The 26436-nt window shown below is 36.9% G+C and overlaps 1 long non-coding RNA gene across 1 annotated transcript in view; it reads left to right on the top strand.

Annotated features, from left to right (window-relative positions):
- Nucleotides 1–10017, top strand: part of LINC01753 (long intergenic non-protein coding RNA 1753) — a 29355-nt gene extending 19338 nt beyond the window's left edge. Inside the window, exons 2-3 of the long non-coding RNA NR_147162.1 lie at nt 4215–4261; nt 9482–10017. This is a non-coding gene — a long non-coding RNA (long intergenic non-protein coding RNA 1753). The remainder of the gene's footprint in view (nt 1–4214; nt 4262–9481) is intronic.
- The last annotated feature ends 16419 nt before the right edge of the window (nt 10018–26436 follow it).

Raw genomic sequence — 26436 nt, 5'->3', positions numbered from 1 at the left:
AGGTTTAAGAAATCTATCATTATAGGAAGGCACAAATAAAATTTGTTTGTCAACCTGGCCACAAAATTAAAATTTTCATTTCTAGTGATTTATTACAAAAGACTTTTGCCACTTAAGACTGGAGTGTGACAATCTTTGCAACAGCAACAGTAGTGAATCAATGCTGTATGAATGATCTGGAAAACTACAAGCTGAGAAATTAACATAAAAGGGATACACACAGCTATTATTTTGGGGGCTCCAAGAAGAAGCAAGCACAAATCCATTTGATGGGCCATACCTTCAAACAAGTTTACAAAATGTTTCCCAAGTTAAAACCTCATTGAAAATTAGCTCACAAAGAAAAATTACATAGTTCCTGAAGTAACAATCACTAGGGAAAGGTAGCAAAGCAATAGCAACAGGCCTCTAAGAACTTTAGATAATAGATAGAAACTATTAGGTATGTTTAATATGATTAAAGGTACAATCTTTAAAATGACTAAAGATATAAAAGATATATATGAAAGAAGGATGAGACATCATTAAAAAGATGTATTTGAGAAAGAATATATAAATGAAAAACACAGTTGTTAATATTAAAATTGGAAGGAAGTATAAACAGTAGCCTAAAACAAGCTTAAGAAATAATTAGTGAAATGAAAAATAGACCTGAAGAAACTACTAAGTACAGACAGATAAACATTTAGGAAATTTAGGAGACATGGAAGATGGAATTTAAAATAAGATAAACAGAAATGGCAGGAAGAGTAATATGTGAAAAATGACAACTATAATATTTACTTTTTTTTTTCACTAATTTCACTCACCACTATGAATACAATCCAACTGCTATCATTGTTTGTCAGGATTATTTTAGTAGCTTCTTCACCTGGCCTCCCTGATTCTGTCCTTATCCCTAGAGTCTGCTCTCAACATTTGAAACTTAAAAAAAATAAAAGTCAGACTCTGTCAATCCTCGGCTTAAAACCTGCCAGTAGCTTCCTATCTCATTAGTGGTAAAAGTACTTAAAATAATTTATATCCTGTTAATTCTCAAAATATGTTCCATGTTCATTCTGCTCCAGCCATACCTACTTCCTTGCTGCCTCAAATACTTTAACAAACCAGCACATGTACCCCTGAACTTAAAACAAAAGTTACAAAAAGAATACAGATGCTCCTCAACTTACAGTGTAATTACATCCCAATAAACCCATCATAAGTTGAAAATATTATGTGTTAAAAATGCTTTTAATACACTTAATCTACTGAACATCATAGCTTAGCCTACCCTACTTGAGTGTGCTCAGAACACTTACATAAGCCTTACATTACAGTTGGGCAAGACCACCTAACACAAAGCTTATTTTATAATAAAGTATTTAACATTTCATGTAATTTATTGAATACTGTACATTAAATTGAGATTGTGAAAATTTCACATCATTGTAAAGTTGAAAAGTTATTAAGTTGAATCATTATAAGTCAGGGACCATCATACTGATAACCAACAACATTTCTTATCACACTTAGGGTATTTTAGATTTTGAAGGAGAATCAGAAAAATTATATCTATGGAAAATTATAGAATTATCTAATGTTCATTCAGTAGTCAATTTATAAACATATGGAAATAGAACTAAACAAGAGTTTAAGTTTTCTAATTTAAAGCTGTTTTCCTAAATGCGGCACTTATTTCACTGGTAATACTGAATGATTGTAGTTTTCACACAGACAATTTAATTATTATTAAATTTATAAATTTATCTTAATAAATATTCAAAAAACAAGTTCCTACTTAGGTTGAAGCTAACATAAGTAGTACCTCTACTCCATCTCTCTGCATTTTTTGGCAATACATTATACACTCTTTGGGTGGTATGTGAATAAGGTAAATAACAGGAAGGTTATTTGCAAATGTCCAAAGTTTGAAAGTCAGGAAACCCTGCTGCAGGCCAAACTTTAGTTTAATATATAAAGAAATGGAAACTCAAGAGAAAAATACTTCAACCCTGCTTCTACCTCAGTTTTTGAAATTTCAGTTCCCTCTGTTTAAATGCTTTTCCCCTAGATATTGGCAAGGGTGCTTCCTTCAAGTTTTTACACAAATATCATCTTGTGAATAAGGCCTTCCCTAATAATTCTATTTAAAATAGCAAAAATCCCATCTCTACCCCCAGAATTCCTCATTACTTTACCTTGAACATATTTTATGGCATTTGTCACCTATAAAATATATTTTACCACTTATTAATTATTTTTGTTCATCACCTTTTACCACTCCACCCAAGAATATAAACTCTGTGAATGATAATGTCAAAACAAGTAGAAATCAATTAAAGCAGTAATTGGAGAAAAAATTGTAACTTGACATTGCTGTATTATAAACAAAAGGCATGAAAATTAAAACGCTAGGCTTACAATTTAATAAATTGGAAACATTTTTGAAGTGTAAACCCAAAGAGCACACAAATGAAGAAATAAGAAGTATGAAAATAGAAATTAAAGAAATAGAAAACAAACCTATAATAGAGAGAATTGTTAAAATCAAAAGCTGTGTTTCATTATAAAAATTAATTTAATATAATAGAAGAAACTCTGGAGAAGTTAGTCAGGAAACAAAGTAGACAGCAAAGTTAATCATAGGCCTTAAAAGTTTGAAAAGTGGATGTATTATAAAAATAACAGAAAATGAAAAATATTAAAGCTAATCTCTGGAAAACTTTGCTAATAAGTTTGAAAATGTAGAAGAAATGAGCCATTTTCTAGAAAAATGTAGCTTACCACAACTGATTTAAAGAGAAATTGAAGAAAAGAAAAACACCTAAACAAATCTACAAAATGAGGTAGGAAGGATTATAAACTATACATGAAGAAGTGTGGTAACATTCATTTGTAAAAGAAAAAACAAGTGTATCCTCACTCCTCTACCACATACAAAAATACATTTCAGTGGGATATATAGAATATAATTTCTACGCACATTTTAAAACCTAGTAAATGTCATGAATTATTTTTAGACATACTCTATTGCATATATAATAGAAAGACAAAAACACTTGCATGAATGATGCACATCAAATTAGGACATTGGTTACTTCTTGGAAGAGTGGGAATTTGATGAGATGAAGGATATCGCAGGAGCCTACAACTCTAGCTCTAACTTTCAGACTCATTTTAGAATAAAAATGATTCAATCATAGCAAAAATCTGAAATAGCAAAATGTTCAGATTTGGCAAGGCTGGGTTTTGGATATATGGGTGCTCATTTCATTATTCTTTGTATTGTTAGTAACTTTAAATATGTAATTATTTAGAAATGAAGTCTAAGCCAAATGATCTGCCTTTTTTCCTATGAGCAGTGAGGAATTCTTGAAGTTCTTTAGTAGGCGATCTGACCATGTAGAGCTTCAAATGCCATCACAAAAACCTGAGAGTTCTCTCTCTTCCATCTCATAGAAAGAATCTCAGCAGAACTCAATTCAAATATCCAAAATGGACAGATACAAACAGGATTAACCTTGTTAAGCCAACCATGGAAATAAAAGTGCTTTACTGAGAAATTTTCTGCAGAGAGTAATATATGTTTTTAAATATTGCTTATAAGGCATCCAAAGACAACCACACAACATTATGCAATCTGGAAAATAATTAATTTAAACTGATTGTGTTTGGAGCTGGGAAAGCTTCTCCATGAAAGTGTTTTGAATCTAACAACACTTTTGTGATGTGTTACAGTCAAGGCAGAAGCAAAAAGCAAAGTGTGTGCTTCTCCCAACTGCAACTTTTAAAAGAGTGTGTATAGAAAGAATCATTTAAAAACTATGTGTATTTATATATCATCTGCTTGCCATAGCTTATGTAATATTTTGTAGAATTCTAATCCCATTAATTATGTTTTATATTTTTCAATTTTTCTGTGTAATATGTAATTATTTCAACCTATGCCCTAGTTTTGTGTGCTCTATTATTTGGCTGGAATTCAGAAGGGTTTGTCTCTGAGAACACTGAGAAGATACCAATCTTTCCCACTCAGCTCATCTTCTCTGATCTAAGCAGCTCTATTTTGTGAATGTGCCCCCACGACTTGAATAGGACAAAGCATTCAAGACATAGTGTTTCCATAAATGATTTAATCTCACTGAGACACAAGTTTTATTCCCTCAAGAAATAAAATCTAATGCCAAATATGAATTACTTTTCATTTTTTCTGTTTTTTTTCTCTTTCCAAGGCTGACTGCATAGATAAAAGAACAAGAGGGTCAAATCCATTAACTGGGTAATTCAACTTTAGTCAGTACATTTTACGCAAGATTACAAGATGAGACAAAAGTGAGGATTTTTCCATGTTGAGTTATTTGCTGGAATCTTGTCACTGAAAGTATTCAGTAAAGATTGGGTATCTACCTTTATGGGATGGGAAGTTAAAAATAGAAGGAAAAACTGGGGGAAAAGGAAAGGAATGAACATTTTCTGAACACTTGACTACGTTCCAGGTACTTCAGGCAAATCATTCAAGTGAAATCTAACTACCTCAATGGAGTTTTTTGTGTGTGTCGTTTATGCCACTGATGACAAACAGAGACCCTAACAAGTGGAAAAATAGACCTTAAGACCAAGGGGTGGGCATGGAGGTGCACTAGTCAGATCTCCATTCAGGAAAAGCTGCTGCTGGAAGCATAGGTGAAAATGTGGCTGCATCTTCAGATCTTGACATTCATGCTAAGGCCATACTTCACCTGCCCTGCCTCCAGGACATGACAGAACACAGCAGTGGCACCATAGTTAGTCCACTCCTGCTTAATGCAGGAATCCTATAAATCTGCTCTGAGATCCTGCATTGGCCTAGCCAGGGATTTCTCAGGACCATAATCAGAACTGCAGCTCCTCAATAGCCTCCTTCCTTCCCACCCCCCCTTTCACAGGTGCCAGAACGGCATCACCTGCCTTCTCTTGTCCCATCCATCTTTATCCTTCATAACCACTTTCCACAACAAGCCTCTTACACATCTAATCCTGTCTTGGCATCAGCTTCTCGAAAGACCTTACCTGACACAGGCCACAGAACAAATAGCTTTCAGCTTTCAGTGAATAAGCTTGAAGATCTATTGTACAGCGTGGTGATTATTGTTAATAATCATGTATTATGTACTTGAAATTTGCTAAGAAAGCAGATCTTAAGTGTTCTTACCACAAAAAAAGAAAATAGTATAATAACTATACGAGATTACACGTGTTAATTAACTTGATTATGGAAATCATTACACAAAGTATAGTTACATAAAAATGCTATGTTGTACATCTTAAATACACATATATTTAAATTTGTAAATTATAACTCAATAAAAACTGGAGAAAAACCCTAGTAAATGTCAGAATTAGGATCTGATGCCAAAAAGGATGCAGGAATCCTATAAATCTCACTCTTTCAATATTGATATTAATACTACTAGTAATACTAATATTGATACTACTGCTAATAATTAACATGATATATACTATTTATTGAGTGTTAACTATGAGCTAAGTATTGTGCTTTCATGCGCTATTTTATTCAGTTTTCATTAAAATTTTATAAGACAGATATTATCTGCATTTTATAGATGAGGACACAAAGAGATATCATTAACTTATCCAGATTACATCATTATCCAGCAGCATATCCAGGATTTGGACTTGGATCTGTGTGGCTCTAAAATCTATGTTCTTACCCACTGTATTCGTCCATTTTCATACTGTTATTAAAAAATGCCCAAGACTGGGTAATTTATAAAGAAAAGAGGCTTAATTGACTCCCAGTTCCACATGGCTGGGGAGGCCTCAGGAAACTTACAATCATGGCGGAAGGCGAAGGGGAAGTAAGGCACCTTCTTCACAAGATGGCCGGGAGGAGAAGTGCAGAGAGAAGTGTAAAAGATCTCATGGGAACTCACTGTCACAAGAACAGCACTGGGGAAATCACTCCCATGATGCAATTACCTCCACCTGGTCTCTCCCTTGGACACATGGGGATTACGGGAATTACAATTCAAGATGAGATTTGGGTGGGGAAACAAAGCCTGACCATATCACTCACCTGTGCAGTTTTTATACTTTCATTAATTTTTATGTTTTATGGCTATTATTTGATGGGTTTTCTTCTACTGAAGATGAGAATAAGCAACATATATTTATAAAACATTAACTCTGTGGCCAGTTTTTGGGTTATATCCTGAGGATTCAATAGAATAAAAGTCCTAATTTCTGCCCTCAAGAAAGTCATTATTAATCTGCAAGTTTATTAACAATTTAATGAAAAGAAGCTATTGATACCTATGAAACGAAGCAACCAAGAAGCTAGACAAGTGTATGGTAGTTATTAAATGGTGTTAGCTACTCTTCTGAACAGAGTAATATAAAAATAAACACATCAACTTCAAAGCCAGTGAAATTTCAAAATAGCAAAAAAGCAAAATAGTTCCTATTAGCTGGAATGGAGGAACTAGGGTTTTAAAATCTTGTAAAATTTGAAGAGGTCCAAAATACAGGATATCAAAGTAAAGGTGAACAATACAATTTGCTAACAGGAGGGGAAAAAGTCAATCCTTAAAATTAAGTCAGATTCAAGGAGAAATAGAACTGCCCACTTGGTGTCACTTACATTTCCTCCATGCACACATGTATCATGTTCCTTCAGAACATATTGGAATGTAATATAATGGAAATAGTATGTACTCGACAGTCAAACAGAACTATAACCCACAAGACTGTCAGTGTGAACTGGTTAAACAATAAAATCATGAACTAGGGCAACAAGAGAATGTTTAATGATGCTACATGGGAAATTTAATGTTGTCCAGGTTTCTCCCCAGTGGAGGAGGCTGCTGTAATCTTGGACTCCATCCAGAAATTTACCCTTCCTAACTCAAGGACTCTTAAAATACTTCCTCCTGCCATGCAATGGAAGAAATAACATGTGTATTTTTAAAAGACAGACAAAAAGATACATACTAAGCCTTAACTGAAAAATAAAGAGGCAGCTGGCCTGAGTACACAGACCACTAAAAATCTGTTGGGTCCTATAAGCAGAAATAAAAATCAAGACTTGATATTTAGTAACTTTTTACCTGTCATTTGTTAGTATCTGGAGACCAAGCAAAATTTTCTTACCAATTCTTTAAAGAATCCTCATGATATGGTTTAGGTCTGTCTCCCTGCCCAATTCTCATAATGAATTATAATCCCCAGAGTTGGAGGTGAGGCCTAGTGGGAGGTGAATGGATCATGGGGGTGGATTTCCCCCTTGGTACTGTTCTTGTGATAGTGAGCTCTCGTGAGTCTGGTTGCCTAAATATATGTGGCATCTCCCTCCACTTCTTCCTGCTCTGGCCATATGAGGTGCTCACTCCTACTTCGCCTTCCACCATAATTGTAAGTTTCCTGAGGCTCCCCAGAAGCCCAGCAGAAGCCAACATCATGCTTTCTGTGCAGTCTGCAGAACCATGAACGAATTAACCTTTTTTCTTTATAAATCACCCAGTCTCAGGGATTTATTTATAGCAGTGTAAGAACAGACTAATATACCTCAATATTTGAAGTAAACCCTGAAAAACACAAACAGTTTCATAAAAATAGTATAGAGACCTCCCATTGCAAATAATCAGGACCCCAGAGCAAAGCTGTTTTAGGTCCATAATGGGGGAAAGACTCAGAAGCTAATCTGAATAATTTGGATGAACGAGCAGTTGAGACCAGACCAAAATTGAAATTGTCCCTGGCTAAAGCCTTCCTCCTCAATGAGAAGGAACACAATGCTATTATCACAAACCTGCTGCATAGAATCTGTTCCTCTGTTTAATGATGCTTTAGCCAATTGTAGCACAAGGGACACATTTTATAGACGTTTTCCAGGCTGGCCATCCCCAAGTGCCAACATGGATACATTGATTGCTTTTATTTAAATGAACTTCTGAGGAGGCAAAGTGAGAATACCTGGATGAGAGGAAAGATACAAAGTCTCGCTTGTCACTCTTCATTTGAACTTGTTACTGAGGCTAATAATATGGTACACAATTTCAATACAAGCAAACTGAAAAATGCACAGGGTAGCTAGAATAAGAACAATGCTATAGTAAGCGTTGGAAGAGCATGGTTTGTGAAGTTTGGAAGAGGCCAGGTCACACAGCTATTATGACATGTACAACCTATACAGCTATATAAGAAGCCCTTGAATAGAATGAGTGCAAATGATTAAGGGAGGAACGGATGATTGATTGAATGAATGAATAAATAAATGAATAAAAAGTATAGCAATAGAATAGACAATGGATTGAGAACCAGGAAATATGGTTTCTAGCCTTAAAGTCTTTCTTTTGTGTGACCCCCGGAAACTCACTTCTAATTTTATAGTTCAGTTTTCTTATTTGTTTGATTTACTCTTTTTGATATGGCACAGGTTCTTAGCTTGTGTTTAATTAATGAATAAGGATAGTCGTCCTGACTTCATACAGGAAAGGAGTCTAACATCTGTTGAATAATACTTAACATGTGCTACCACCCTGCCAAACACACACACACTCTCTCTCTCTCTCGCAGTGTTAATCCTTTTAACCATACTTAAAAGTAGTTATAATTGTCATCACTTTTACCAATGAAAAAATTGAAATTCTAATATATTAACTGATGTTTCTGTTTCACACAGAGTAAGTAAATAGGATAAAATTGGAGGCTGTTACAGACCCAAACCTTTCAATCTCACCATGTTGCCACTTGTTTGAGAAACTGAAAAAAGTATACATATGCAAAGTATTACCAGTGTTGCAGATATTTGCCCAAAGGCACATGTCTAAGTGTTTGTTTCTATACAAAATAGTCAGACCGGTTCTCATACCAACTCACACGGGATGTGAGGCAACAGATAGACCCAAATATTTATTAAGTGGGAAAGTAAGATGTCCATAAGTTGATAAAGACTGTTTTGTTTTGCTTTTTTTCTTGTGACCAGGCAACTAATAGCAAGTGAAGAAAAGGAATTGTTGGCAGACAACTTGGCTAAAGCACCAGACTTCTTTGTCATCCAGTCAGACACTAGGGGTGAAAAAAAATCTGCCTGGTTATCTTTGTCTGGTCTCTCTTGGCTGAAAAACAGGGTACTCTTCAGAGGTAAAAGGGATGGTCTGTTCCTTATCATTAAATGACCCTACACACAGAGATACCTCTGAGTAAAAGGGGAAAAATTCTCAGATCTCAAATTTTTTTTTTTGTAAAAAGTAAGAACAATATTTGAAAGAGAGATAGAGCATGAATGATGGGCATGTATGAGATTATTAGATTAAGAATTTATCTTGTAATATGCTAACAGTCCGTTTTCTAACTATGTGAAATGTATGTGAATGTATACATCTAGAGTAAATATATTGTGAGTTAGATATATATGTGTCTATTTAATTTTCATCACAAATTGTTACTCTTCCTTTTCTCAGACATCTTATTTTCCTTTCCCTTTTGCCTTGATTATCAGGAATGTCAGAAGTCATAACCATGCCTGATGACAACAGTTTCCTTTGGCCTGGTGTGGTATTGTAAATTGTCGCTTTTAGACCAACTTTTTAGTGATAGACCCTCTCTATGCTTTTTGTTGTAAGCTACTGCAGATTCTTGCCACAGGTATGAAGTAAATTCTGTTAATAGCCTTGATTTTTCACCTGTGCCACCATATATATCTTTGCCATGGCCTCATGATGGATGGAATATACTTCCCTGCCCCTTGACTTGATACTTGACCATGTAACTTTTTTGGAACAATGAAAGATGATGGAAATGTCAGTATACCTGTGCTCAGGTATACTGTGCTAGGTCTTAAGAAGCCTCCAGTGTTTCCAGCTATACATCTGCAATCACCATGAGAAGGACCTGCTCAAGCAAACCACTAGTCACAGGAGGAGAATGAGAGACACATGGAGCAGAGCTGCCCTCAGAGTCCACCTAGATTAGTTGTCAGCAGACCTCCAGTGGACTTGTAGAAACACAAGCAATAATAAAAGGCTGTTGTTTTAAGCCACTGAGTTTTGGGGTAATATTTTATTCAGCAAGTTAACCAGTACAAGGTAGATGGAAAATATCTATATTTCCATGTTGATCTTTTAAATATACATATTTGTATTTATGGTTAGTGAGAAAGTTTTCATAAATGAGTGAAAAGTCTTTAATTTTCATAAACAGAATATTATTGTATAATTTAATACTTTTGAATATTTCTATGGTTTCAATGTCCTGCCAAAACTCATGTTGAAACTTAATTGCCACTGTAACAGTGTTGAGAAGCAGGACCTTAAAGAGGTGATTAGATTATGGGACTCCACCCTCATGAATGGATTAATGCCATTACCAAAAAAAGTGAGTTAGTTATTGCAAGAGTTCTGCCCCGTATTCCTCTCTTGCTCTTCTTACGTGCACTCTGTTGCCCTTCCACAATGTTATGAAGCAGCAAGAAGGCCTTCACCAAATGCTGAGCTGCTGTCGGTCCCATGCTCTTGAACCCAGCCTCCAGAATCATGAGCCAAATAAACTATATATATATATATATAGTGGTATTATAAACTATATATAAATATAGTGGTATTCTGTTATAGCAGCAGAAAATGAACTAAGACAAATATGGTATTTTTTTACCCTGTTTGATAAACTTCATTCTTCAAAACTGTTATATCAGAATTATCTGTGAAGCCTTGCTTGATATCTCTCAACAACTAAATACATTCCTACTCTGTGCTAAATGTATATCTTCAACATATTTCTATTTTTTTCTCTCTCACTAGATTTTTATGACACCCAAGTTCAGGACTATGTTTTATGTCTCTTTGTAGCACATTTTATGGACATATCAGTCATCCAAAAATATATATAACTGGATATGCTCAATGATAGATTTTCAATCAGTTCACATATTGAGAATATAGTATTAAAATGGATGTCTTTAAGCAATACTGGATATTTGCTTTTGAAAAACAAAGCATTATTGGTGCTAAAGCACAGTATAGTACATAAAATCTAGTGCGGTGAAATACTAGTCGATACAAATAAGCTCTCAAGCCCACACTTGCTCTCAGACATCTAGATGAAAACTGACAGACATACCACAACAATTCTGGCCTTCAGTGAGACAGGCAGAGCCAAATTAATTTACCATTGATTCTCAGAAGGTCTCAGTTACTTCATTATTCCTTATAACACAGAACGAAATAATGTGTAAATTACCTTCAACAGCATCAACAAAATCAAGGGAAAAGTGTATGTAGCTCAATGAAGTGATGATTTTGGGAAGAAAATTTTATTTGATGGTCTAAACACAATGTATGGACAGAAAATATTTATACTTTAATGTGAATATAAAACATAGCATAGAACTAGGAAAAAAAATCTGTTGACTGTAATGGGCACCAGTGTTCCAGTCATAAAATTTGTTACATTGCTTAGATAAATGATGGTAAAGTGGTCCCAGCTCCTAGGATTGAAATATGGTCAGCTGGTGAGAGGGAAGGACACGGGTTACTCTGGGATTTACATCTCACTCTAAATCATTTGTAAGCAGTGAAATGACTGGAGTCCATAAATTCTGACAAGGATTCTCTACCTACAACAAAATAGTTAAACTAGAAGGAAAATGTGGTACAATAACAATTCTAATATTTCATGTCTATTAAGCTAGGGCTCCTCTGCATTTTTCATGTATTAATGCATTTAAATCTCACAGCATTCTGCAAAGTAGGGTTACGGAATCTTGGGATGTCACTTCACCAGCCAGAAACCTCTGTGGCCAGTGGTGCCTTCACCCGAGTTTTGCTGGGGCCCACTGGGCCCACACTGCATGGAAGGCTGTGCTCGGCTTGTGCTACCGGCCTGGATCCCATGCCTGCCAAGGGCAAGTGGAGCAGTGAGGGGTGTGTGAGCGAAAGAGCATGGGGTCCAGCCATCACACACAGCCAGGCATACTGGCTGCAGTGGGCCAGGCAACTCCAGGCACCGGTACAGCCAATGGCTCCCTTTGAGGCTGTGGCTGGACCAGACATACTGCAAATAGTTGCTTCCGTGGCTAGCACCAGGGAACATGATGGCGCCTGGAAGCTTGGTGACTCCAGGAACCACAGAGCCCCAGAGAGGGCATCACAGCCCTAGCTCAGGGAGCTCCTAGGTTTGGGCTCTCCAAAGGGCCACAGTTCTTCTCTCCTCCTCTCTTCTCTCCTTCTCGTCACCCACAATGTGGTGAGCAAGGGGCATATTTCAAGCCGTATTTGTGTTACAGCTCTTTTAGCACTGCCATTCGGTGGGTCCCGAGTTCTTGTCCTGCACCCAGGAAGAATGAGGTACATGAACAAGTAAAGAGTGAGCAAGGTGAAAAGGAGCTTTATAGTATGACAGAATAGCTCAGAAGAGACCTGCAGTGGATAGCTCCTCTCCAAAGGCAGGGTGTCCTGACTGCAGCTTGTCATTCCAATGTCTGCCCAGCTCTCAGCTAAGAGGAGACCCTGGAGTGGGTAGCTCTTCTCTGCAGCTGGCCACCCCCAGTGTCTTCTCAAATCTGGCTGAGTCCAGAGTTTCTATGGGCTTCAGAAGGGAGGAAGTGTGTGCTGATTGGTCCATGGGTGGCCATGGGTGGGCTGGGGAAAAAGCACCATAAGTTCTCCCTCATGTCTGCAGGACTGGCAGCCCTGCCCCTAGGCTTCAGGCCTTCCTGGGCTTGAAGGCGGGGCTTCACTGGGAACCTACCTTTTTCCACCCAGGAGCCTGTCTGCCTCCTACCACTGTTCATGGTGCTCAGGCTGTTTGTGCCCAGGGGCACCTGGAGGCCAGTGCCAAGCTATCCTCAGGCACCCTCCCCCCTGCTTCCCTCCCATGCTCATTGGCACCCAAAGTCTGGAGGGGGGCCTAGGCGGCAGGGACCTGACATGTCAGTGCTGCCCTGAGCTTGTACACATTCAACTGAGTTGCGACAGCACCCAGGCTCAGCCTCAACTTCGCTCCAAGATCAGAGTGGGTACTGGGAGCGGGGAGTGGCCAGAGAACAGGAGCAGGCACTCCTGAGCCTGTGGGAGAGCAGGTACTCCTTAGCCTGCACCCGGACATGTGGGGCTCCTGTCTGCTTCTGGCCCGCAAGAGTACAGGGATGCCCAGGTCTGCAGCCATGGCTGGGCATCTGCAGCTGTACCTAGGGAGCACAAGGCTCCCTCCCTTCCAATTCAGAAGTGAGTGGTGCTTCCACCTGTTTCTGACTCCCACCGGCTCCATGCAGCATGCAGCCCTGGCCATGCCTCCCCCAACTGCAGCCAGTATCATGGCAGCAGCCTCTTTATATAGGCTGCTGCTGCCATCAGTAGCATTACTATTATGCCCATTTTATAAATCACATTTTAGTTAATGTTTAATATGGCTTTCTTCTTCCCTCATTTCTTTTTTGTAAGTATTTTTAAATTTAAAAAAATTTTAATTACTGTGAGGGTGCAATAGTTATAGTTATATAATAGTTATATATTTATGAGGTACATATGATGTTTTGATACAGGTATACAATGTATAATGATCAAATTAGGGTAATTGGGGTATCCATCATCTCAAGAATTTTTCCTTTTTTGTATTAGGAACACTCTAATTTTACTCTTTTAGTTATTTAAAAATATATAATATTTTATTTTTAACTAGAATTGCCCTACTGTGCTATTGAATACTAGGTCTTATTCAGTCTATCTAACTGTGTGTACCCATTAACCATTCCCACTTTATCACCCATTCCCACTACCTTCTTCTCCGATTTGTGAGTTCCCAATCAAGGAATGAAACAAGCAGAAATCAACATATCACATTATTTTTAAGTCATGATAAGAAAAGGTAGCTTGGTCTATGTCAAGACTGCCTTCCTATTACGTTCCTCCAAGTTCAAACTTGTTATACAAAGAATACCTTAACAGACAAATATATACTGCATAGATTTGAAAAGTATTCATATTGCTAACATTCTCTCTTCCCTGATATGGTATACTTACTAATACAGTAAAGAGTCACTAAATAATAATTGAACAAAAAATTTACAAATGAATATATGGATAGGTGGATGGATCTGGACTTGAGAAAATGAATCTTGTTTAGCTATCTGGGTAATAATAAAATCCATAAGATACTTGAGGAGTTGGTGCAGATAATAAAGAAGACATCATCTGGCTGGAAGTGAGAATGAACCTGGAGAGGTAGCACATTGGATGGAAGGAAATTCCAAGATACTATGGATAATATTGGCAAGGTGTGTTATTAAATTATTTAGGAATTTCCCCTCACCTAGTAAGAAAATTTATTGCTCCTCAGAGATGGGAGGGGGTGAAGTAAGAGGATAATCAAAGGTAAAATTAAGGAAGTTAAAAAGAACCCACCCACATTTCTTAATTAGCTTCAAGGGGGAAATTACTGCCAAGCATAATGATGCAGAAGTTAGAATGTCTTTATTCTGCAGGGGGAAAAATTCCTCCTTCTGCCACATTTTTTTATCCAATTTAATTGGCTTATATTTGTCTGTCAGTAATGTAGGCAATTCCAAACCAAATAGGTTTAACTTTCCTTATAAAAGGACCAAAATAGCTGCAAAAGGCTAGATGTATGTCCATCACACAATCTTGGCAAGCAATATTTGCCACATGAAACATGGGTTGTTCTCCCTTTCTGCTCAGAACTGTAGGCCACACCTTTCAAAGTGCAATGAAATGTTTGGGATAGTTGAAACTGGCCCTATAAATACTCTTTTAGGTATTTCTTCAGTAAGCAAAAGAGGAAGGAAACCCACCATAACAGTAATGTGGAATGGTGACCAGGTTTTTGCCAGTAATAGAGAACACATACGTGGCCACTGCCTTTATTCCACATACCACCCACTCCACCCTACTTTTAAAACAGCAACTGGGTGATGCAATTAGTAAAATAAAAAACACACCATATGAGAAAACCATGGGGGGTAGTGGATATGTCACTATCTTAAATGTAGTGAGGGTTTCACGAGTATATACACATGTCAAAACTTATCCGTTTGTACATTTTAAATACATGCATCTTATTTTATGTCAATTATACTTCAAGAAGCTTGTTTAAAGCAAAACAAAACAAACAGAAAAACATCATATAAAATGGAAGGATGGTCCTGGTAAGAAACTAGGAGTTGAGAACTTATGTAGCTGCTTGGATAGGCCCAGAATATATATAGCTTCCAGCTATATTATCCACATTACTTACAGAGCGGTCCTTTAAAAATCGAAGTCAGATCATCTCCCCCTCTGCCTAAGACCCTCCAGTGGTTTCCATTTCTCCTTGAGTGCAAATCAAAAGCCTCCTTATTCTCATAGGGCACCATAAGGCCCACCTCTCCAGCCCCTGTGACTCCTCTGGCTTTGACATCTATTACTGTCCTCTCTTCAGCCACACTGGCCCCCATGTTATTCTTTTTTTTTTAATTTTAATTTTTATGGGTACATAGTAGGCATATATATTTATGGAGTACATGAGATATTCTGAGACAGGCATATAATACATAATAAACACATCAGGGTAAATGGGGTATCCATCACCTCAAGCATTTATCATTTGTGTTACAAACCTTCTAATTATACTCTTAGCTATTTTTAAATGTACAATGAATTATTATTGGCTGTAGTCACCTTGTTGTGCTATCAAATACTAGATCTTATTCATTTTATCTAACTATATTCCTCCCCCTCACCTGTCACTACCCTTCCCAGCCTCTGGCAGCCATCATTCTACCCTCTATCTCCATGAGTTCAAAGTTTGTAATTTTTAGCTCACACAAATGAGTCAGAACAGGCAAAGTTCGTCTTTCTGTGTCTGGTTACTCCATGTTATTCTTGATCAAGCATAGTAAACTTACCTTGGGGCCTTTGCCCTTGCCATTTCCTCTGCTGGAAATGTTTCTTCTGCTACGAAACATGCACAAAATGTACCCTGGCTATGGTACTTCTTTTTACTTTGTATTCACATTTTACATCCTTAGTGTAGCCTTCCCAGATCTGGCTATAAACATATCACTCTCCTTCCTCACCTTCACCCCAGCGTTTCCCATTTCCTTGCCTGCTTTACTTTTCTCCATAGTACCTTATCGTCATCTGCTATTCTCTATAATTTACCTCGTTATTGTTTATTGTGTTTCTCCCCACCCTTCTACTATAATATAAAAGGCAGAGGTTATTGTCTATTTTGTCTACAGTAGCACATATATATGCATGCACTCAATAGAAAATTAAAAAATCATTCAGCCAAAGCAAACATATTCAAATTATGATGGATTTTATGTGCAATAATAAATAATAAGTATACTTGTATTTATTTATAGAGGATTATTTTCATCTCTTCTAAAAATTCTCTAGTGATATATGCCACTCCTAGACTCATGAAGTACAAAAATTAGAGAAACCTTAAAATTCATCTAATTCAGTCAGATACGTGAATGGCATTTAAAATATCTCAGCCCATCACTATTGAGTACTATGCGCAGTACTTGACCTGGGTGACCAGATCAATCATAACTCAAACCTCAGTGTCATGCAATATATCCAGGTAGAAAACCTGCACATGTACCCCCTGAATCTAAAATAAAGGTTGAAACTATATTGTAAAAAAAATCTCAGCTCATCTTAACATGAATATCTCCAGTATTGGGTAACTCTCTAATCATTTATTCCTAAAGCATTTCTAGTTACCATGAGGGTTGATTTTATGTGTCAACTTGAGAAGCTGTGGTACCAGATGTTTGGTTAAACATCATCTAGATGGTGCTGTAAATGGTTTTTTTTTAATGTGATTAATGTTTAAATTAGTAGACTTTGGGTAAAGCAGATTACCAAAATAATATGAATAGGCCTCATCCAATCAATTAAAGGTTTGAAGAGAAAAGACTGAAGTTTCCTGAAGAATAAGGAATTCTGCCTTTAGACTATCTTTAGACTCTAGACTGCAATATTAACTTTTCCCTGGGCTCCAGCCTGCCAGCCTGCCCGGAAGAATTTGGACTTGTCAGCCCTCACAATTGTATGAACCTATTCCCTACAGTCTTCCCCCACCCTCTCTTTCTCTCTCTCTGTCTGTCTGTGTGTATGTCTCTCTCTCTCTGTAAATATATATGTATAAAAAATGACATATAGAACATACATATATGATATATATTATGTCATATATACTTATATATGATGTTTATATTATATATACACATATGCACACACACACACATATATATGTACACATACATATGTATATAAATAAATGATTGGTTCTGTTTCTCTGGATAACCTTGTCTAACACAGCTACTCAGCCACTGCTTTGAGCCAGACACTCTTCTAGGCATTAGCATATGATGGTGAACAAATAAGTAAAATGTTGAGGACAGCTTCAAGATACTGAAAGTGCTGGAGAAAACTGGCTATAATGTTGCCTTTTAAAACTGAGTTGAAATCCCTATCTCTGTAGTTTTCATCTATTGTTTCATTTTCTTTCCCCTGAAACTGTGGAGAACTCATCTACTCCCTTTTTCACTTCACAGCTCTTCCTACACTTAGGGTGGGGGCGATCATCATATTCCTGGCCCCAGCCTTTCCTTTGTTAAACATCCCTAGTTCAACTCACTGATTTTCCTGTGCAATGTTTTCCAACCTTCTCACGATCTCAGGAGCCCTCCTCTGAACAAAGCCAGGTAATTTCTGCCTCTCTCAGCATACTTCCCAGAATGAACCGACACCAAATGTGCAGGAGCCAACAGACTAACATGGGGCTTCCCCTCCCTGCTCTGGGTTCTGCACCTCTATTTAAGCAGCCTCAATGGACTACACTGGAGAACTCAAATCTTAGACTGAGTAAACTCTATTAAGATGATGGGTGCACATTCCATCTTACCTCTATGAGGACCCAGTCTTTAAAGCCATTTTTTTCCCCTCATATTTAGGAAAATAGCCATTTTCCTAAAATGTTTAGAAAAATGTTTATTATGTTTATTTTTTTTTATTTATTTATGGTTTCATAATCCATAATTTAAAAATCTGATCATATTATCACCAACTTCAGTATGGCTGTAGATTTTGTATATATCAATATCATAAGGTACACATTCCTTTAATAATAATGACTAACATAAATCAAGCCTATTACATGTGAGGCAAAATTCTTAACACCTTACAAATATTACTTCATGTCCTCCTCACTGCCTGTTGAGGGAGATGCTCTAAGACAGCAGTCCCCAACCTTTTTGGCACCAGGGACCCAGTTTTATGGAAGACAATTTTTCCACAGACAGAGTGGAAAGATGGTTTTGAGACCAAACTGTTCCACCTCAGATCATCAGGCGTCAGTTCAGCTATCATAAGGAGCATGCAACCGAGAGCCCTCACATGTGCAGTTTACAGTGGGGTTCACAGTCCTATGAGCATCTAATGCCACCACTAATCTGACAGGAGGCAGAGCTCAGGCGGTAATGCTCACTCGCCCACCACTCACCTCCTGCTGTGTAGCCCAGTTCCCAACAGGCCACAGACCAGTACCTGTCCACAGCCTGGGGGTGGGGGTCCCCTGCTCTAAGAGTATCTGCATTTTACAGATGAGGAAAATGAGGCCCAGAGGACTGAGCAACTTCCCGAAACTACTCAGCTAGTAATTGGAAGAGTTGGGATTCACATCTAGGCCCTCTGGTTCTAGACTCGATGCTGTGGATCCACTGTGAGATACTACCTCTCCAGATGTCATTTATGGCCCCAACCAAGCTTTCCAACATCATGGTTCCTAGGTGCAAGCCCCTGGTCTCCACCATTAGGCCACACTCATGAACTCTTATGCACACACAACACTTAGGTTCACACAATGTACACTTGTACAGACACTCCAATCACATGGAATTTTCTGTCCCTGCCCGGATACCATACTCCTTCACATGCCACAGGCTATTGTTCACATGGTTATTTAAGTAAGAAATATAATAGTTCCCCCTTGAGCCCTTTCATAATAATAACAACATTAACAACTAGCCTGTATATATAGCTACATACCTTGAACTATGCTAAGCGCTTTAGATATACTGAATCATTTAATCTCACAACAAGCAACCCCATCAGGTAGACACTGTTAAATTGAACTAAATGTGGCCTGGAAAGCCTCTGTATTTCCACACTTGAGTCCTTATGGACGAACCATAACCTAACTTAATAAGTAGACAAGACTGACAACCTAACTTAGGAGCATGCTTCTATAACAATAGCTGAGTCTCAGCCAATCCCAGCAGTCATACTTCAACCACTCATAGGCAGCTAGCTGACTGTTCAAACTGCTTTCAAACGAAGCAAATGCCAAGCTGTAACCAATCCGGCTGTTTCTGTATCTCAATTCCATTTTCTGTATGTCACCTTCCTTTTTTTGTTTATAGATTTGCTGTGACCATGAGGCATCCTTAGAGTCTCTCTGAATCTGCAATGGTTCTGGAAGCTGCCTGATTCGTGAATCTTTTTTTCCCTTGCTCAGTTAAGCTCTGTTAAATTTCATTTGTCTAAAGTTCTTCTTTTAACAACACATTATTATTTTTTCAATAATATTATTGTTTTTCAATAATTTCCTCCTTTTACAGATGAAGGAATTAAGACAGAGAGATACATTAAGACACAGCTAATAAGTGGTGGACAGGAATCTTGTCCAGGTAGCCTGCTGCCCTCAACCACTCACCTTCTTTTCTTCAATCCCTTTTAAAATGCCCCCAATTCGGCCAACCAGAGACTTTTATTTTATGTATTTATTTATTTATTGAGACAGAGTCTCGCTCTGTTGCCCAGGCTGGAGTGTAGTGGCCCGATCTGAGCTCACTGCAAGCTCTGCCAGCCAGGTTCATGCCATTCTCCTGCCTCAGCCTCCCGAGTAGCTGGGACTACAGGCTCCCACCACCACGCCCAGCTAATTTTTTGTATTTTTAGTAGAGATGGGGTTTCACCATGTTAGCCAGGATGGTCTCGATCTCCTGACCTTGTGATCCACCTGCCTCGGCCTCCCAAAGTGACGGGATTACAGGTATGAGCCACCAGGCCTGGCCCAGAGACACTTTTTTAAGCATTTTCAACTTTTGGTTGTAATTATTTATTATTTCCCCCTGGTAAATTATACCATCTTCAGGGACAGGGCTTGCAGCATCTAGTACAATGTCTGAGACTCAGTATGTACTTGGTAAATAAATGTATGAATGAGATATTGAATCAGTGACTGAATGAAGGAGCACAGGGGAAAGTCTATTGCAATTAACGGTAAAGAATGAAGAAGAGAGATTGTTCTTTTATCCTTTTCCAGAAAGATCAGCATACAGGAACTTCCAAGAATCCAAGAAGAAAACAAATGCGAAAGAAAGGTAAAAACCAAACCACAGATAAAAGAAACAAAAATCTCTTAGCTAATAAAGGACCTAGGAAGACTTTAATAAGACTTCTTTATTAGAACTTGGGTATAATATTTCTTATTGTAATATGGAGCTCTGCAACAGTCCCTTTCTTACATCCGTTTTCTTACTTCATTTCCTGCGCTAATATTTCCATGACTCTGAGTTTGTACAACTCCTTTTCTGGGCCCTGTGTCCATTTGGGGCTAAAAGCCCCTTTTAAAATGGGATAAATGCGTGAGAACTTTGGTTATAATTTCCTGAGCCAGGAATGCCCGCCATCAGAGACAGAAATTCAGAAGCAAATGACTTGTTAAGTATTCCACTTTGTCAAATGACTTAATAAGAAAGCCACTATAAGTGCAGAGGTTCTCAAAATTTAATGAGAAGAATCATCTATATGTTTACAGTGCAGATTATTAGGCCCCACCCCCAGAGATCCTGGTTTAGTATATTGGGGGTGGGGCTCAGGAATGACAATTGTTATCAAGTGCCCTCAGTGATTCCACTGTAGGTGGTCATCAGACCACACACTGAGAAAGGCTACGATGACGATGACGGAAAGAGCCCAGAATTTTGGATTTTAGAAACCTCACTGCATGCTAAATAGCATTGAAACTTGGGCAGCTTTTTAAAAGTCCCTGAGCTACAAATTCTTTAACTATTAATAGGAGACAATAATACATATACCAGACTACTAGAGCATCAGGCCATGTATCCATGGAATGGAAGATTTAATGAAGTTGTGTGAACATGTCACTGGGTTTGGCAGCTAGCTGTGTTGTAGAGAAAGGGTGGAGCTGAATTCAATCAATACCACGTTTATGAACAAATATATAAACCCTCAAACCACCATACAAATACCCAAATACCTCTGACAAACATAATTTATCATAAAGAATGAAATAATTACAAAGAATTACATTATGTTAGTACATTTGCAAACTTAGTTAAAATAGATGCATTTCAGGAAAAATATAAATTAACTAAATTGACTCAAGATAAAATAGCAACTAAAATAAACCAGTAGCCATTAAAGTTAGACTGCAACAAAAATGACCCCTATATAAAGCAAAAATAAGATCAGATGTAAACATGCTAAATAAATATTAACATGAAGATTTCAGCCATGTTAAAAACAAGACACCATAAGCAAATAATGTTTACTTAGGAAGCAGGGAGGTTCACCACAGTAAAATCTATTATATAGTGTACTACACTAATAAGAGAAACAATAAACAACTATCTCAATGGATGTAGAATAAACATTTAAAATGTTCAGCATCCATTCAAGGTGAAAATGAAAAAAAATCTCATAATCAACTCTGATTAGGAAGAAAATCTCTTAACCTGTTGAAAATATCTGTCAAAACCTACCAAACACAATACTTACAGTGAAACAATAGAACCATTTCTGCTTTTAGTCAATATTGTATTAAGAGCCCTAAATAATACAATGTGAAGAAAGAAAAGAACATACAAATTATAAAGGAATAAAGATAACTGTCCTTATTTGTAGACAATATAATTGTCTTGTAAACAGTCCCAAGAGATTCATAGACACTGTGTTAGATCTAATTAATTAATTCAACAAAGCTGATAGATACAAGATATACATAAATCAAATATACTTTTACACAAATGCAAAAATTAGAAAACATAATAGAAAAAGAAAGATTTCATTCAAATAGTGATTAAGAACTTTATATTATATAGGAATAAGTATAATGAAAATATATTTATGTTCATATTAAGAAAATTATAGGGAATTATTAAAGGATATAAAGAAAACTTGAATAAATGAACATGTATATTAAGCCTACAGTTGAATAGACCCAATATACTAAAGTATGTCAGTTCTCCATAGTTAGTTTATAAATTCAAGTCACTCAAAACCAAATCTTAGTGGTATTTCTTTACTAAATTGAAAGGGCCAAAAATAACTAAGAAAAAGTTGAAAGAACATAACAAAGTGCTGGTACTTGCTCTACCCAATATTAAGCTTTATTATTAAGCCCTAGTAATTAAAACCATGCGGTATTAGCACAAGCTCATAGGCAGACCAATGAAAATAATACAGAGTTCAGAAACAGAATCATGCATATAGAAACGTCATATATGACAACTGCAGCATTGTAGACCAATAAAGTAAAAAATGATTATCCCAATAAATAGTATAAATGCAATTGTATATACTTTCAGATAAAAAAAATAAGTTTCCTACCTCATACCATATGCAAAAATTTATTGGAAGTGAATTAAAGTCATAAATATGAAAAGTAAAACTCTAAAACTTTTGAAGAAACCATAGCAAAGAGTTATTAAAAAATACAAAAAAAACCTATGAACCATGAAAATTTACATAGTTATCCACATTTAAAATTTTAAAAAATTATTAAACAAAATACAATGTAAAGTGAGAAGAGTAACAAGATATTTGGAGTAGATATATGCAATAATATAATTAGCAAAAAATTAGTACAAGAATATTCAAAATATCCATATAAATTGACATGAAAAAGAAACTCTTAAAAATTGTCCAAAGATATAAGTAGAAGCAAAAATGGCCAAGAAACTTAGAAAAAGATGTTTAATTGTATTAATAATCAGAGATATGTAAATTAAAGCCACATTTATATAGTATTTTATATCCAGATTATCAAATATTAAAAAGCTTGTCATTTCTGAATATCTGTTTCTGGTTATGATAGAGTAGCTAAGAACAGACTTTATCACTATGAAAAACTAGAAAGATAGTCAAATGAAATTATTTAAAATGTTTTATGTTTAGCAACTGCAAACCAACTGTTTTAGTAGAGAGCTCTTAAAGGCAAAGAAACGTTCCAGAGGGATGAGAGCTATGTAGAGGAAAAGCTCCAGAAAATTACACAGAGATGCCTTTTACTGTATTGCTCAGTATAAATTTACTGATGTGTAGAGTGAAATTATATGAATAAGGGCAAAGGGGCCGGGTGTGGTGACTAACACCTGTAATCCCAGCACTTTGGGAGGCCAAGGTGGGCAGATCATGAGGTCAAGAGATCAAGACCATCCTGGCCAACATGGTGAAAACCCGTCTCTGCTAAAAAAAAAAAAAATAAAAAAATTAGCTGGGCGTGGTGGCACGCACCTGTAGTCCCAGATACTTGGGAGGCTGAGGCAGGAGAATCACTTGAACCCGGGAGGCGGATGTTGCAGTGAGCCAAGACTGCACCACTGCACTCCAGCCTGGCGACAGAGTGAGACTCCATCAAAAAAAAAAAAAAAAAAAAAAAAGGCAAAGGACAATTGTGAATGTGCAAGCTGAGAAATTCTCAAAGCTCATATAGAGCTGGGGGATTCCAAGCACCAAACAGAATGAAAAGTCATAATGTCATACCTGGATCATTTGCTTGAGACCCAGAAAGAGTTATGCCTTAGTCTAAGGACTAAATTATACCCAGGGTAAAAGAATACCTTGAAACTTTAAAAAATAAAACCTCAAATAATAATGCTAATCTGAAAGTAACATTTATCGCAGAATAAATCAGAAAATATTGCTAATCTGAAAGTAACCTTTATTGCAGATAAATCAGAAAATTCTTCTTTTTTTTTTTAGATGGAGTTTCACTTTTGTCACCCAGGCTGAAGTGCAACAGCACATGATCTCTGCTCACTGCAGCCTGCGCCTTCCAGGTAAAAGTGATTCTCATGTTTCTCCTGCCTCAGCCTCCCGAGTAGCTGGTATTACAGGCACCCACCCCCAGGCCTGGCTAATTTTTGTATTTTTTTAGTAGAGACAGGTTTTCACCATGTTGGCCAGGCTGATCTCAAACTCTTGACCTCAGGTGATGCACCCACCTTGGCCTCCCAAAGTGCTGGGATTACAGGCATGAGCCACCGCACCCAGCCTGAAAATTCTTTAAAGGAAAAAAACAAACCCACACTCAACAATGTGATAATCATAACAACCATCAGCCTATCAAAAATTGCTAGACTTCAGCACAGGAATTCAAGATTGCACTGAGCTATGATCACGCCACTGCACTCTACCCTGGGCAACACGGCAAAATCCTGTCACAAAAAAATAAAAAAAAAATTAATACAGAGGACCAAATGCAGGAAGATACAACCCATAATTGATAGAGGGAAAAAATCCAATAGAAACATACTCAGAAATGATAGATATGCTAGAATTAGCAGAGAATGAATTTAAAGAAATTATTATACCTGTGTCTACAAAAAATACAAAAATTCACCAGGTTTGGTGGCACATGCTTGTAGTCTAAGCTACTTGGGAGGCTAAGGTGGAAGGGTCACTTGAATCCAGGAGACAGAGGTTGCAGTGAGCCGTGATTGTGCCGCCACACTCCAGCCTGGACAACAGAGTGAGACTTTGTCTCAAAAAAAAAAAAGAGTTATACATAAGTGTGTGTATGTTTATATACACATGTCTGTGTGTATACACATGTGTGTATGTGCATGTAGCAGAGGTTTTAAAGAAAAACATAAACACAATGAAGAGAAAAATTGGAGATATAAAATAAAAATCCAAATGGAACTTCTGGGGATAAAAATGCCGTACCTAAAATTAAAATCTGATTGGATGGACTTCATAGCAGACAGAACATAACAGATTTTTAAAAAGCAGTGAATTTGAAGACGTAAGAACTATCAAGACTAAAGCACAGAGAGAAAGATTCAAGATTCAAAAAATAAACACAGCCTCGGTAACGTGTGGAGAAATATCAAGTGGTCCAAATAAGTTGCAGTTGGGAACTCAAAATGAATGAAAGGACCTCAAGACAGAAAACGAAATTTAAAAAATAATTACCATAATTTTTGCAAATTGGATGAAAACTAGAAACTCAAGAAAATTAAAGAATTTCAAAAGGATAAGAATAAACATGCATGTACACATACACAAAGGCATACTATCATCAAATTGCTAAAAATGAGTGACTTACTGTAAGAAGCTATGCAAACTAGAACACAATAAAATAGTATAATTAAAGAATAATAATAATTTTTTATTATACTTTAAGTTCTGGGGTACATGTGCAGAATGTGCAGTTTTGTTACATAGGTATACATGTGTCATGGTGGTTTGCTGCACCCACCAACCCGTGATCCACATTAGGTATTCCACCTAATACTATCCCTCCCCTAGCCCTCCAGCCTCCAACAGGCCCCACTGTGTGATGTTCCCCTCCCTATGTCCATGTGTGCTCATTGTTCAGCTCTCACTTATGAGTGAAAACATGTGGTGTTTGGTTTTCTGTTCTTGTGTTAGTTTGCTGAGAATTATGGTTTCCAGCTTCATCCATGTCCCTGCAAAAGACATGAACTCATCCTTTTCTATGGCTGCATAGTATACCATGGTAGGACTGAAAGAAAAAAAATCTATCAACACAGAATTCTGTAACTAGTAGAAATGTCTATCAAAAGTGAAGGTAAAAATTTTTTTTCAGGTAAGCAAAAGCTGAAAGAATGTGTTTCCAGCATACTTCAATGACAAGAAATGTTAAAGAAAGTTGTTCAGGTACAGGGAAAATAATATCAGATGGAAACTTGGATCTGCAAAAATAAAGAAAAGGCAACAGAGATGGTAAATATATTTTTATATAGAAAATATTTTCTTATGAAAATTTAGAGAACACATAATGTATTTTGGAATTCATAAAGTATATATAAATAAAGTATATGACAACGATGGAAAAGCACAGGAGCAACATAAGAGAAGTATGCAGTTTTAAGGAGCGTACATTAATTGTGGAGTGGTATAGTATTATATAAAGTTAGGCTAATGATGAGATGAAGACTCATTTTGAAAACCTTATAGCAACCACAAAAATAAATAAGATGAAGCTGGATGGCTAATATTCCAATGATGGAGATAAAATATGTATTAGGGTTCTCTGGAGAAATAGAACCAATAGGGTGTGTGTGTGTGTGTGTGTGTGTGCGTGCGTGTGTGTGTGTGTGTAAAGTGATTTATTTTAAGACATTGGCTCATTTGAATTATGGAAGCTAAACAGTCCAAAATCTGTAAAGTGATC

The sequence above is a fragment of the Homo sapiens genome, chromosome 1, assembly GCF_000001405.40.
Source record: "Homo sapiens chromosome 1, GRCh38.p14 Primary Assembly".
Classification (NCBI taxonomy): domain Eukaryota; kingdom Metazoa; phylum Chordata; class Mammalia; order Primates; family Hominidae; genus Homo; species Homo sapiens.
Note: the sequence above shows the minus strand (reverse complement) of the source record. Positions and strands in the feature narration are given on the sequence as shown.